Here is a 14,275-nt window from a genome sequence, read left to right as displayed (position 1 = left end):
AAAAAGCTATTGACTGGACGCTCCCAGAGGCAAGCTTCTGAAGCCCTCTGTCTCTGAGAATCCCAAGTCTGCCACGTTCACAAGCAACAGAGGAAGCCTTACATTCTAAGGTAATTAGCTCAGCCGTTTCAACACTTGGGGTGGGGGTAGGGGGAGAGAAATCCTGCTAAGCATGAATGCCTTTGTCAAAATATCATCCTGACACCCTAAGGATGGTCTGTTTTCTTTTCTTATAAACTGGGCCCAAACTTGTCTTTAAAACAAACAAACAGGCCGGGCACAGTGGCTCATACTTGTAATCCCAGCACTTTGGGAGGCTGAAGAGAGGATTGCTTGAGCTCAGGAGTTCAAGACCAGCCTGGGCAACCCTGTCTCTACCAAAAATACAAAAAAAGAAAAAAAGAAAAATTAGTCAGGTGTGGTGGCACACACCTGTAATCCCAGCTACTTGGGAGGCTGAAGTGGGAGGATGGCTTGACCCTGGGAAGTGGAGGCTGCAGTGAGCCATGTTCATGCCACTGCACTCTAGCCTGGGAGAAAGAGCAAGACCCTGTCTCAAACAAACAAACAAACAAAATAATAAACACAAGGTATTTTTTTTTCTCTTCCCCTGGTCAAGCTTAGTAATGCAGTATGTCAGCATTAAAATGACACTTTTGGATGGGGGTGCAGTGGTTCACGTCTATAGTCCCAGCAATTTGGGAGGCCAAGGTGGGAGGATGGCTTGAACCCAGGGGTTCGAGACCAGCCTGGGCAACATGGCAAAACCTTTAAAAATGGAAAAATTAGCCAGGCTTGGTGGCACATACCTGTAGTCCCAGCTACTCAGGAGGCTGAGGTGGGAGGATTGCTTGAGCCTGGGAGGTGGAAGCTGCAGTGAGCCATTATCAGGCCACTGCACTGCAGCCTGGCCAACAGGGCAAGACTCTGCCTTTAAAAAAAAAAAAAAAAAAAAAAAAAGGCAGGGCACGGTGGCTCACGTCTGTAATCCCCTAGCACTTTGGGAGGCCGAGGCAGGCAGATCACAAGGTCAGCAGATTGAGACCATCCTGGCTAACACAGTGAAACCCCGTCTCTGCTAAAAATACAAAAAATTAGCCAGGCGTGGTGGCGGGCGCCTGTAGTCCCAGCTACTCGGGAGGCTGAGGCAGGAGAATGGCGCGAACCCGGGAGGCGGAGCTTGCAGTGAGCCGAGATCGCAACACTGCACTCCAGCCTGGGCGACAGAGTGAGACTCCATGTGAAAAAGATAAATAAATAAATAAAAGACACACTTTTTATAAGAAAAATATTCCACACAAAAAAAGGGGAGTGAAGAATCATATAACCACCATGGGACTGAAGAAATAAAACACTACAAAGAGTTGAAAGCCCCTATACACCTCTTCATGACTGTATAGCCCTCTCTGCCCATCCCCAGAAACCGTTATCCAAAAGTTTGGTAATGATCATTCCCCTAAAGGTTATCTGTATTTTTATGACATATGTAAAACTTCATATAAACGGTATCATAGCATATGGAAATCTCTGCAATTTGCCTTTTCTAATTTTTAACTTTTGTGGATACACAGTAGGTGTATATATTTATGGGGTACATAAGATTTTGTTGTTGTTGTTTTTGAGACAGGGTCTCACTCTGTTGCCCAGGCTGGAGGGCAGCAGCGCAACCACAGCTCACCACAACCTCACCGCAACCTCTGTGCCCAGGCTCAAGTGATCCTCCCACCTCAGCCACCCGAGTAGCTGGGACAACAGGCGCCTGCTACCACGCCTAGCTAATTTTTGTATTTTTAGTAGAGATGGGGTTTCACCATACTGGCCAGGCTGATCTGGAACTCCTGGCCTCAAGTGATCTGTCCACCTTGGCATTATGAAGTGCTGGGATTACAGGCATGAGCCACCGTGCCCGGCCCCTCCTAGATTCCTGATAGGAGTCTGGATCCATCCCCTCCAGATAGGACCCATGGGCCTCAAAAGAAGCGACTCCATCCATCCCTGGCTCTGGGAAGGCCTGATTGGTCAGAGTGGAGTTCTCACAGGAACTCTACTATGGTAAACCACAGGAGAACCAGCTTTAGGATGAAAGAAACCAACAGAGCAGAGACCCAAAAAACTTGGGTTCTTGATGACATCATTTAGATGCTGGATCCCTGAAACCCATAACTTGCTCTGCATCTAGGCTTGCTGACATGAGCCAATCATTTTCCTTCTATGTGAGCCAGTTTTCAGTTCCTTGCAGCTGAAAGGATTCTAACTGCCCTACTTCCCTCCTTGAAGTCTATTCTTGCTATCCGATTCACCCCATACACAATGTCTCAGGGCTCATGGTGCCATTTGTCTCAAACTCTGTATCTCTTCTGAGTGTCCTGGTGCCATTAGCATGTTCTAACAAAGCTGAAACCTGATATCTCCTTTGCCTCGCTTACTACCAGCCTAGAGTAATATAAACCTGGCCCTTTCCATTGGGGAAGTGTAAGATTACCCATTAGCACATCCTGACTTCTTCCCATGTCTCAGGCACTTTACAATTTAGCTCGTTAAATCTTCACACCCACTGTTTCAGATAGAAACTATGATTATTCCCAGTTTATAGATGAGAGCAGTGAGGACGGAGGCCTCAGAGAAAGCATGTACACTCAGTCAATTCCAGATTCAATCCCAGAGGTGCCTGACTCCCAAATTCTCATTCTTGGCTGGACGCAGTGGCTCCCCCCTATAATCCCAGCACTTTGGGAGGCCGGGGAGGTCGGGGGGGTTGGGATCATGGGGTCAGTAGTTCGAGACCAGCCTGGCCAACATGGTGAAACCCCATCTTTACTAAAAATACAAAAAATTAGCCAGGCATGGTGGCAGGTGCCTGTATTCCCAGCTACTTGGAGGCTAAGGCAGGAGAATCGCTTGACACCAGGAGGTGAAGACTGCAGTGAGCCGAGATCGAGCCATTGCACTCCAGCCTGGGCGACAGAGCAAGACTCTTGAGACAAAAAAAAAAAAAAAGAATTCTCATTCTTAATCACAACTTCCCTTCTCCCAAAAAACCCAACAGAAGAAAGGGGGCCCTAAGCTACCAGCAGAACAGAAAAATCAGACTGAGCTTCATATCCCATTATCCCAAAGAACACCATTCATTCCCAGAGATTAGCAGTATGAGGCTTTTTAGAGGCCTAATTCTGGTGTATATCTTGCTTTGCAGAGAGTATAGAACATGCTAATCTGAGGGGGGAAATATGAGTGTTGCAAGAGTATTTCAGGCCATTTTGTTATATCTTATCTATTTACAATTGTCACAGACTCCAAGAGAACCTAAAACTCAAATCAGCTTTTAGGAAAAGAGAAAGTTAGTTACCACTACATAAAGGGTTAAGATGGATCATTGTCATAACACCATAAAAACAACAAACAATGACACAAATTTATTTTAAGAGACAAGGTCTCACTCTGTCACTCCGGCTTCAGTGCAGTGACCTGATTATAGTTCACTGCAGCTTGGAATTCCTGGGCTCAAGGGATCCTCCTGCCCCAGCCTCCCAAGTAGCTAGGATTACAGGCACATACCACCATACCCAGCTAATTTATTAAAATGTTTTTGGCCAGGTGCAGTGGCTATCGCCTGTAATCCCAACACTTTGTGAGACTGAGATGGGTGGATCACCTGAGGTCAGGAGTTCAAGACCAGCCTGATCGACATGGTGAAATCCCACCTCCACTAAAAAAAATACAAAATTAGCTGGGTGTGGTGGTACATGCCTGTAATCCCAGCTACTTGGGAGGCTGAGGCAGGAGAATTGCTTGAACCAGGGAGGCGGAGGTTGCAGTGAGCTGAGATCATGCCATTGCACTCTAGCCTGGGCAACAAGAGCGAAACTTTGTCTCAAAAAAAAAAAAAAGAAAAGAAAAAAAAATTTTTTTTGGTAGAGATAAGGTCTCCCATGTTGCCCAGGCTGGTCTCAAACTCCTGGCCACAAGTGATTCTCCAGCCTCAGCCTCCCAAAGTGCTGGGATTACAGGCATGAGCCACTGCACCCAGCCAACACAACTTTAATGTATTTAGAGCTTCTCTAGAATCATTCTGGAATGAAATAGATTTATATTTCATGGGAAATTTAAATTAAAAAAAATTCTAAACAACTCTTATTTGTAGACCCCATGTACACATGACAGAATTTAGTCCTGTGATTTTCCTATTAAACCCCTGCAGCCTGTTCGATCTTCGTTTGTATTCAATATTCTATGACCACCTCCCCACTACTAGACCACAAGCAACCAGAAGTCAGTGAACAAGTCCCAATCCCCTCTATACTCCTAGCCCCTCTACACCCCTGGCACATGGTAATGGCTGCATAAGTATCCAAACAAAGCATCTATACATTACTACTCTGAGCTCTTGGTCACACTCAGGCACTTTGCATCACAAAAAGACGTTATTCTCTTCCCAGTTCTCCTAGTTCTTTCTCAATCCTCCTGAGCAGGTCAAGGAAAAGGCTCAATGTAGTGCTAGGTTACCTTCAACACCTCTCCATCTCTTGCTAATTTCCCTTTTTAACCAAAAGAGAGTATGCCTCATGTTGTGAACAGGCAACAGTGCTGGCTGGAATTTAATAACTGTTTGGGGTTTATTTATGGTTACCTTCCATTTACCTAGTGACGCTGTTTTTCCGTTATTATAGTGACACAAAGTCTCCTTTTCAAATACATTTGTTTTACAAGTGAGTCAACTGCAGGGGAAAATAATATTAAGTGAAAAATGAAATAGAGACAGCCGTGGGATATGGCAAAATAGTAAAGGTGGTTCCTTTACAAATGATTGAAGCTTGGGGGACACAGACCTAGTCTAGTTCTCCCATTTTATAGATGGGGCAAAAGGTTCAGGCGAGGGCCCCAGTGATGGTAGAGGTAGACCTAGGAGTAAGAGCCAGGGTCTGGGCCAGGCGCGGTGGCTCATGCCTGTAATCCCAGCACTTTGGGAGGCCGAGGTGGGCAGATCAATTGAGGCCAGGAATTCAAAGCCAGCCTGGCCAACATGGTGAAACCTCGTTGATACTAAAAATACAAAAGTTAGCTGAGGCCAGGCACGGTGGCTCACACCTGTAATCCTAACACTTTGGGAGGCTGAGGCAGGCGGACCGGGCCACCGCACTCCAACCTGGGTGACAGTGAGCCTCTATCTCAAAAAAAAAAAAAGAATTAGCTGGGCATAGTGGTGCACGCCTGTAATCCCAGCTACTCAGGGGGCTGAGGCAGGAGAATCCCTTGAACCTGGGAGGCGGAGGTTGTGGTGAGCCGAGATCGCGCCACTGCACTCCAGACTGGGTGACAGAGGGAGACCCTGTCTGGAAAAAAAAAAAAGAGCCAGAGTCTAAGTCCGGACATCTGCCTGGGACCTGCAATCTTGCCAAATCCAGCATGTCCTACACCTTTCCCAGAAACAGAAACGGGTCTCCAGAAGGGGAGTGGGTTAACATCAGCTGATCATACTGATAATGCCTAAATGACAGTCACCTTTAGTAGCTGGAGAAACAAAAGCCGTTGTGCAAGTGTTTTAAATTTTTGCCCCATCACATGGAAAAAGTACCCAGGCTGACGAATTTCTTCCCATCATTAAAACATAAAGATCTGCATTAGTCACTCAGTGAAGTAAAACCCACACAAATTCTACCTTTGGGAAAGGTGTTGGGCGTTCCCTGGCTACACCAGAGATGGCCTAAAACTGACATTTGGTAGCGCTGCAGTATTAGAAATCTGGCCCAATTATGAACAGCAGGCAGCTGGTGTCCAAGGAGTAACTGGGGGAAGTACACGGTTCATGCAAGACACAGACAGATTCCTTCTATCCATCAGGGCAAAGACTAATACTCGCCAACTCCTCAAGAGAACCGAAAATACTGGCCCCCAACCTCCCATATCCATTCCTGTCCCAGGAGCCACAGAATTCCCTGTTGGCAGCCTCCTCTGTCACCCTAGCCCAGCGACTTTGATGCTGTTTGTACAGGGCATAACCCAGAAGTCCAGTTTCCAAGCACTAACCACTGTAAAAATATTGTCGCCAGCTCCATGACACCAAGTTGGATAGTGCGGGGGTTTACCACCACACCCAGGGCAGCAAAAATTTTGACAGATGGCAGGCAGCCCCACCATGACCCCAGATGCCAAAGAGCTAGGAGGGAAAGTGCTGCCCAGGGCCAAGGCAGGGACGAGTCAGACTCCTGGGGGATGGGAGCAGCTGGCACAGCCACCCTTTACTCCAGGTTGAAAGCACACAAGGCAGTCAGCACAGCCTCAGCCTCATGGAGGATGTAACCCTGGCAGTCCCCCACCTGTCTCTCCATCTCCACCCTCCTCCAAGAAGCCCTGAAAAGAGAAGCGGTAGCCCATGGCATTAACGTGAAGACTTATTTTTCCAAGGCTAAGTGGGAAGTGCAGGGTCTCACAGCAACAATGCTGATACTAACACCACAACAGCAGCAGCTGACGTTTACCAAGCACTTACTATAAGCCAGGCACGGTGCCAAGAGCTTTAGAGGCACCTTCTCTTTTATACCTAAGAACTCTGTAAGGCAGAACATTTTTTGTTTGTTTGTTTGAGACAATCTCGCTCTGTTGATCAGGCTGGAGTGCAGTGGCATGATCTCGGCTCACTGCAACCTCCGCCTCCCAGGTTCTAGCGATTTTCCTGCCTCAGCCTTCCAAGTAGCTGGAATTAAAGGCACACACTACCACCTCCGGCTAATTTTTGTATTTTTAGTAGAGACAGGGTTTCGCCATGTTGGCCAGGCTGGTCTCAAACTCCTGGCCTCAAGTGATCTGCACGCCTCAGCCCCCTGAAGTGCATGAGCCACAATGTCTGGCCCCTGTAAGACAGAGCATTTAAGGATCACATTCAGCATATGGACGACAGGCTCCTGGAGGGAAGCAGCTCCCTGGTGTCAGCCAGCTAGCTACAAAGCAGCAAAGCCAAGACTCAGGCCCAGGAGCAAACACAAGACCAGGACCTTACTGCCGCTGCTGGGAGAGCATCTTTCCAAGAGGGTGGTCTGGGACAGGCAAAACCAGGAAAGAAAAAAAAATGAGAGGGAAGGCCAGGTGCAGAGGCTTATGCCTGTAATCTCAGCAATTTGGGAGGCTGAGGAGGGAGTATCACTTGAGCCCAGGAGCTCAAGACCAGCCTGGGAAACATGGCAAAACACTACCTCTACAAAAAATGCAAAAATTAGCCGGGTGTGGTGGTGTGTGCCTGTGGTCCCAGCTACTCGGGAGGCTGAGATGTGAGGATCACCTGAGTCCTGGAGGTCGAGGCTGCAATGAGCCGTGAATGTGCCACTACACTCCAGCCTTTGCCACAGAATGAGATCCTATCTCAAAAAAAAAAAAAAGAAAGAAAGAAAGAAGAAAAGAAAAAAGAAAAAAAAGAAATGGAAGGGAAGGACATTACAGGAGACAAAAGAAAGGGTGAGGGAGGGCAATGGAGCTACTTAAAAAAAAAAAAAAAAAAGGAAGGCTGGGCTCAGTGGCTCACGCTTGTAATTCTGGCACTTTGGGAGGCCGAGGCGGGCAGAGTATGAGGTCAAGAGATTGAGACCATCCTGGCCAATATGATGAAACCCCGTCCCTACTAAAAATACAAAAATTAGCTGGGCATAGTGGCGGCACCTGTAGTACCAGCTACTCAGGAGGCTGAGGCAGGAGAATCGCTTGAACCTGGGAGATGGAGGTTGCAGTGAGCCAAGACTGCACCATTGCAATCCAGCCTGGCAACAAAGCAAGACTGTCTCAAGGTTAAAAAAAAAAAAAAAAAAAAAAAAAAAGGAGGCTTGGCCAGAAGACCAGAAATGCAGAAATGCCACTCATGATGGTTCCTACTCAACAGTTATCCAAAAACCCAGGTTGCCTCTTCTTCTAAAAAGAGTCTGTTAGGTAGGAGGCGGTATCTTTGGCCTATTTCTGGGAGTATTCCCAACCACCTTTCACCTTCCTAGATAATTAGATTGCTTCTTCATCTAGTCTGGAGAGACCACCCCCAGGTCCAGGAATTAGGGGTGTGAAAGACGGGAAAGGAGAAGAGAGAAAGGAGGTTGGTGGGGAGCATGATGACCACCATTCATGGGGCACTTACCCCAGCCCCCACCACCACCTCCAAGGACTGGGTCAAGTGATTTATCAGGATTATATCATTTTATCTTCGATAACGCCAGTAAGGGGGTACTGCTATAGTCTGGGACACAAACTCAGAGAGGTCAAACAACCTTCCCCAAGTCTGCCAGCTAGAAAGCAGCAAGGTCTATCTGACCCATGCTCTGAAGCACTCCGGAAGTGGCTGGATCTGTATCCAGAAGTGGTTTCCATTCCATCTCCTCTGCCTCCTGGCTGAGACAGGATGGCTTCATGGGCCTGGTGTCCTCAGGGCTATTGGGAAATGGTGCCTCCAAAAAAACAATACCATGAAGACCTTAGGGCTACATATAATTTTCAGACTTCTCAAAGTTCCCAGGCAGTCAAGGGTGAACCAAGCTGCCCAAGTACATTGTCAGGCTCACATCTGAAACATGTTTAAACAGCTAATGGAGCTGAGCAACTAAAAGCTAAATGAGTTTCTATGCTGGGCTGCCTATGAGACAAGGTCACAATAGTTACCAAGTATAATAACTATTATTAAGAGACCCTGGCAGTCCCAATAAAAGTAGGTCCTAAAAACTTTTAAGAGACAGAAAGTGGCTGGAACACCTCCATGCCGTGGTTGACCAAACATATTTCTAGACCAAGGGAGACTTGCAAACCACAATGAGACTCAAATGAGACCTTTCATTTTAATGTTGGACAAAGCTCAGCAATAACTCAATTGAAGACGAATCTTGTTATAACCATCAGTATGACCAAAATTATTTCACAAAGCATTTCCAGTCCACAGTCACTTTTTTCCTGAGAAAGGAATCTCTTTCTTCCCTATTCTGATTAAAAGGCAGCTGTAAGCAAAATCCCCTAAAAGTAGAAAAAGATTCATTAAAATTCTTCACAGGTGATTTTTTTCTTTATATTTTTCTGTGTTCTTGCAATTTTTTGCAAAGAGTAACAACTACAGATGTAACTTTTTAATGCTCCAATAAAAATTTATTAGAATTGAATTTCAGGCTGGGCACAGGGGCTCACTCCTGTAATCCCAGCACTTTGGGAGGGCCAGGTAGGTGGATCACTTGAGGTCAGGAGTTCAAGACAAGCTTAGCCTGTCTCTATAAAAATACAAAAATTAGCTGGGCATGGTGGCACGTGCCTGTAGTCCCAGCTACTCGGGAGGCTGAGGCAGGAGAATCACTTGAACCCAGGAGGCAGAAGTTGCAGTGAGCCAAGACTGCAGTTTGGGCAACAAAAGGAGACATCATTTCAAAAAAAAAAAAAAAAAAGGCCGAGTTCGGTGGCTCAAGCCTGATCCCAGCACTTTAGGAGGCCGAGGCAGGTGGATCTCGAGATCAGGAGTTCAGGACCAGGCTGGCCAACATGGTGAAACCCCGTCTCTACTAAAAATACAAAATAGCCAGGTGTGGTGGCATGCAACTATATTCCCAGCTACTCGGGAGGCTGAGGCAAGAGAATCGCTTGAACCCAGGAGGCGGAGGTTGCAGTGAGCCAAGATTGCGCCACTGTACTCCAGCCTGGGAGACACAGCAAGACTCTGTCTCAAAAAAAAAAAAAGAAGCAAATTTCAAAGACTTGCTGAGCTGATGGCTTTCCTTGGGAAAGCAGTAAAATATGAAGATTAAAATCTCAGACAAGAATCTGAGTAATAACCACACACTCACTGGCCAATCTGGGTGTGCCTCAGTTTTCTCATCTGCATAACGGGAATTACAACAATAACTACTTCTCAGAATTGCAATGATGTTTTGTATAGCTATTAGTAAGAAGCGTTTATCACAATGCCTGGTACTTTGTATGGGCTCTCTCTATATTCACTGTAACTAATGAAACTGTTACTATGATTGTGACTTTCAGTAATTTCCTATTAAATTCATTTTCTGAGCTTCACCTGGAAAAGGCCTTGTTCTCTAACAGTTGTTGAAGCAAATCACAGATGTCCAGAGAATGAACATGAACTGCTGAGTTCTTTAAGTTCAGCATCACAGTCCAAAAACGAAGTGTTCCACTGGGACCCCAGACCCAGTTGTCTACTACATATAATTCCCACTTCACTAAAGGCAGCAAAGAACCACTGTTTTGCATTTTCTGAATTGCAAATAAGTCAATGTACCAGTCTTAATACTCAAGCTATTATACTAGAGACTGTTTATTTAACAAGTTATTTATTAAATTCCTATTAAGTGCCAAGGTCAGAGCCACAGAGGTAAACAAGAGACACAGCGCCTGCCCCTGGAGCACTGATGACCCGTGGGAGAGTAAGAAGGCCATTTAGAACACCAATACGGCTCAGTAAGAGGGCAGTGTGGCCAAGTGAGGTGGCTCATGCCTGTAATCCCCACACTTTGGGAGGCTGAGGCAGGCAGATCGCTTGAGCCCAGGAGTTCAAGACCAGCCTGGGCAACATAGCAAACCGAATCTACAAAAAATACAAAATTAGCCAGCAGTGTTGGTGTGTGTGCCTGTAATTCTGACTACGTGGGAGGCTGAGGTGGGAGGATCGCTTGAGCCAAGGAGGTCGAGGCTGCAGCGAGCTGTGATGGCACCACTGCACTCTAGCCTGGGTGACAGAGCAAGACTCTATCTCCAAAAAAAACAAAAACAAAAAAACAAGGTGTTGGGTGCCCAGGAGAGGACCTCATGCCCAACTTTGGGTGTGACTCCCCATGGATGTCAGACAATAGTGCTGAGAAAAAGGGATAGGAGAGACAATTAGGTAAGAGGTGCACACCTGCAGGAAGTGTAATGTGACACCTGGATCACATCCTGTAAAGGACTCCCTGATGGGAGAGCCATCCCCCAGGTGCTAGCTTGCCTCCTTTGGTGGAGATAAGGAATGTGACAAGCCACTGCCTAGGTGCTTTCAAGCCAACTCTGCCAAGGCGCCTCACTCAGAACACATTCTGGGTTCTGCCTCCAGATGGCTAGAAGCTCCACCGAGGGCCCCCATCCCAGCAGCAGCACATTCCTGGTCTTCCAGCAGGTACCCCTCCCTGCCTCTGCTGAGAGGGAATCTTGTAAACAGAACCCTGAACTCTGCTCAACTGATAGCACTACAGACTCACAAAGGCCTTTTAGGGTCTCAGCTCAAAGACCTTGCACCTCAGGTCCCCTGGGAGGCAGGGCCTGGTCCCATACTCTGGCCTGCTTTACCCCACACCAAGGGAACAATCAGTTTGTTCCTGGGCAAGAAGCACCAGGCCGGGCCCCTGCTCCCACAATAGGCTGTAGATGCCAAACCATTCTTGTGTCCCTGGAATCTGATAAACCACTTCAAGGAGGTGCAGGGAAACCAGGGTGATACGCACAAGAAGTGTGGTACAAGCATGATAAGAACTTATTTTCTTGGGACACGGGGGAAACTGAGAAATCCTATTTTAGCCACCAAGAAACCTTTCCTGCCCCGGCCTCCCTAGGAGGCCTGCCTCTCCCTCAGTCACACTCAGCACAGGCGGAAGGTAGCACCGTTCCTGCCTGTTGAAGGAAAGCTGACTGCTGCTTGCCATCTTTCATCTTAAAGTCTGAATTTATGGGCTTGCGGCAAATTTACATAGTGCCTGCCACAAATCCCCACCCGTTTCCCTATAGTTCGAATGCCAGAATTCCACCCTGTGTTCCAAATAACTCCAACCTCTTTAGTAGCCTTTTTTTTTTTTTTTTCTGGAAAGGAAATTCCAGAAAACTTGTCTGGCATGGTAAAGGCTGACAGCCTTATGAAAATACTCAGAAAGGTGACCCATTTAGTCAAAAGAGCTTTCAGATCTCTATGAGAAAAGGAATTCATGCCAGCATAAAGGGCCTTCAGAGAGAGAGAACAGGAGTGCTGTGTTAACACCCAGACCTTTCAGCAAGCCAGCCCTGCGACGGCTGGGGAGGCTGAGCCCTGAATGGGCTGGACGGACCAGCTTTCTCTCTCAGGAGAGGTGCGCCTCAGGAGATGCCCGTGGGGATCACAAGTTCAGCTCTGGCTCACACAACTTTGTGCTGCCACAGCACGAGGCTACCTGCAGATGAGCGGAAAGCTGCCTGCTTGGATTGGAAGCAGGCTGCCCACTTGTGCCAGGGCCATGAGACTGATAAAGGCTGGGTGCTAGGCCTGGAAAGAAGGGTGCAGTTGCTGGGCTCACCAGCAAACACAACCCAGCACACCCTCCCACCAGTTAAACAAGGTAGCAGAAGAAAAGGGTGTGGGTGAACTCATTCCTGACAGAGCATAGCTGTGCCTATGTCCGCTGTCACCAAGGATCTCCTGGCATAGTTGGCTCTCAACAACACTCCCCTCAACACACACACACACACACACACACACACACACACACACACACACACACCCCTGTGGTGTCATGGTGTGTGCTGTGAGCCCTGCAGCCAGGGGGAGTTCCAGGGACACCTCCTTCCTCACCTCTGGTTTCTAGACCTCACAAACAAAAGCCCTGCCCACCTCCTCCAAAGCAACCTTTAGCTGGTCCCTACTGTCCACACCTGCGGTGACATTACTGCCCCCTGGAAACCAAAGGCAGGGAAAGAACTGGAGCAATGTCTCCAAAAACTGGAAAAGGTCCCAGTCAGAGCTCCACGGTGTGGGAAAAGATATGGTAAGTAGCCCCCAAAAAGTTTTGTTCTGTAGAAGGAAATTTCAGTTTCACATGAATCAAGCGCAAATGAGTAAAGTTTGGAGCAAAGCAAAACAGGAAGAAAAAAAATCCACAGAAGCAGAAAACAGTCTCTTCTACACCCTCTCACTACAATATATCTATTTTACTTTACAGAGTGTGAAACTCAGTTTTGACACAAAAGTCCTTTACAGCATGATGCAGGCAGGGATTAGGGATTAAGCCTGACCTGTAAAGTGAGGCAGAGCTGAGCCTCAGTTTTCTCATCTGTAAAATGGAAACAGATGTCAACCTAAAAGAAAGAGGCAGAGGCTTAAAATTTAAACTATTAAAGAGTTTACTTGAGCCAAAGTGAAGACAGCTGCCTGAAAGACTCAGGCCCAAGTAACCTTGGATATGAGCTCTGTTTGGCCTTTGTTACAAGCAGGTTTTTAAAAGCAAAAGAGGGGACAGACAGGGAGTGGGGCTGATACAAAGTTTTTTGTCAGGAATTCTCATTGGCGTACAGAAATAGCATTGATTAGTGGTTGGCCATCCATCGTTAAGCTATAGGGTGTGGATTATGGTACTGCGTGCAGCATTATTAGATTAATTTATAACTAATTGTGACAATAGCAATTTCTTTGTTTTAGAAACGGGTCTCACTCTGTCGCCCAGGCTAGAGTGCAGTGACGCAATCATAGCTCACTGCAGACTCAAACTCCTGGGCTCAAGCTATCCTCCCAACTCAGCCTCCCAAGCAGCTACAACTATGTAGGCTTGTGCCACTGCATCCAGATAATTTTTTTTTTTTTTTTTTTTTTTGTAGAGATGTGATCTCACCCAGGCTGGTCTTAAACTCCTGGCCTCAATAGATCCTCCAGCACCGGCCTTCCAAAGTGCTGTGATTATAGGACAGGCATGTACCACCACACCTAGCCAGCAACCAATTTTAAGAAATGAATACATAGGCGGGGCACAATGGCTCACACTCGTAATCCCAGCACTTTGGGAGGCCAAAGCAGGCGGATTACCTGAGGTTGGGAGTTCGAGACCAGCCTGGCCAACATGCTGAAACCCCGTTTCTACTAAAAATACAAAAAATTAACTGGCTGTGGTGCCAAGGCGCCTGTAATCCCAGCTACTGGAGAGGTTGAGGCAGGAGAATCGCTGGAACCCGGGAGGCAGAGGTTGCAGTGAGCCAAGATCGCGCCACTGTACTCCAGCCTGGGTGACAGAGTGAGACCCTGTCTTAAAATAAATAAATAAAAATAAAAATACCAAAACTAGCCAGGCAAGGTGGCAGGCGCCTGTAATCCCAGCTACTCAGGAGGCTGTGGCATGAGAATCACTTGAACCCCGGAGGCAGAGGTTGCAGTGAGCCAAGATTGCACCACTACACTCCAGCCTGGTGACAAAGCAAAACTCTGCCTCAAAAAAAAAAAAAAAAAAAAAAAAAAGTCAATGAATACATAGCTCAAAGAGGGTAGCAGGATGTGTTCGCTGTCTCATTTAATGTCTTTCCAGGCCTGATACTTTAAAAGGACTCACCTTCTTCC

The 14,275-nt window shown here is 47.1% G+C and overlaps 1 protein-coding gene across 4 annotated transcripts in view, besides 3 other annotated features; it reads right to left on the bottom strand.

The window, feature by feature from the left end:
- The window catches only part of FLNB (filamin B), a 163,830-nt gene that overhangs the window by 139,748 nt on the left and 9,807 nt on the right, over positions 1-14,275 (bottom strand). The gene's annotated exons all lie outside the window — the stretch shown is intronic.
- Positions 9,786-10,767: an enhancer, noted in NCBI's record as "OCT4-NANOG-H3K27ac-H3K4me1 hESC enhancer chr3:58007464-58008445 (GRCh37/hg19 assembly coordinates)". NCBI's record gives its function as "activates a minimal SCP1, AML or CMV promoter by ChIP-STARR-seq in primed H9 embryonic stem cells {active_cell/tissue: H9 hESC(primed)}" and the evidence as "EXISTENCE:reporter gene assay evidence [ECO:0000049][PMID:30033119]".
- Positions 10,768-11,748: an enhancer, noted in NCBI's record as "OCT4-NANOG-H3K27ac-H3K4me1 hESC enhancer chr3:58006483-58007463 (GRCh37/hg19 assembly coordinates)". NCBI's record gives its function as "activates a minimal SCP1, AML or CMV promoter by ChIP-STARR-seq in primed H9 embryonic stem cells {active_cell/tissue: H9 hESC(primed)}" and the evidence as "EXISTENCE:reporter gene assay evidence [ECO:0000049][PMID:30033119]".
- Positions 11,749-12,731: an enhancer, noted in NCBI's record as "NANOG-H3K27ac-H3K4me1 hESC enhancer chr3:58005500-58006482 (GRCh37/hg19 assembly coordinates)". NCBI's record gives its function as "activates a minimal SCP1, AML or CMV promoter by ChIP-STARR-seq in naive H9 embryonic stem cells {active_cell/tissue: H9 hESC(naive)}" and the evidence as "EXISTENCE:reporter gene assay evidence [ECO:0000049][PMID:30033119]".

This window comes from Homo sapiens, chromosome 3 (genome assembly GCF_000001405.40).
Source record: "Homo sapiens chromosome 3, GRCh38.p14 Primary Assembly".
NCBI lineage: Eukaryota > Metazoa > Chordata > Mammalia > Primates > Hominidae > Homo > Homo sapiens.
This window is presented reverse-complemented; position numbering and strand designations above follow the sequence as displayed.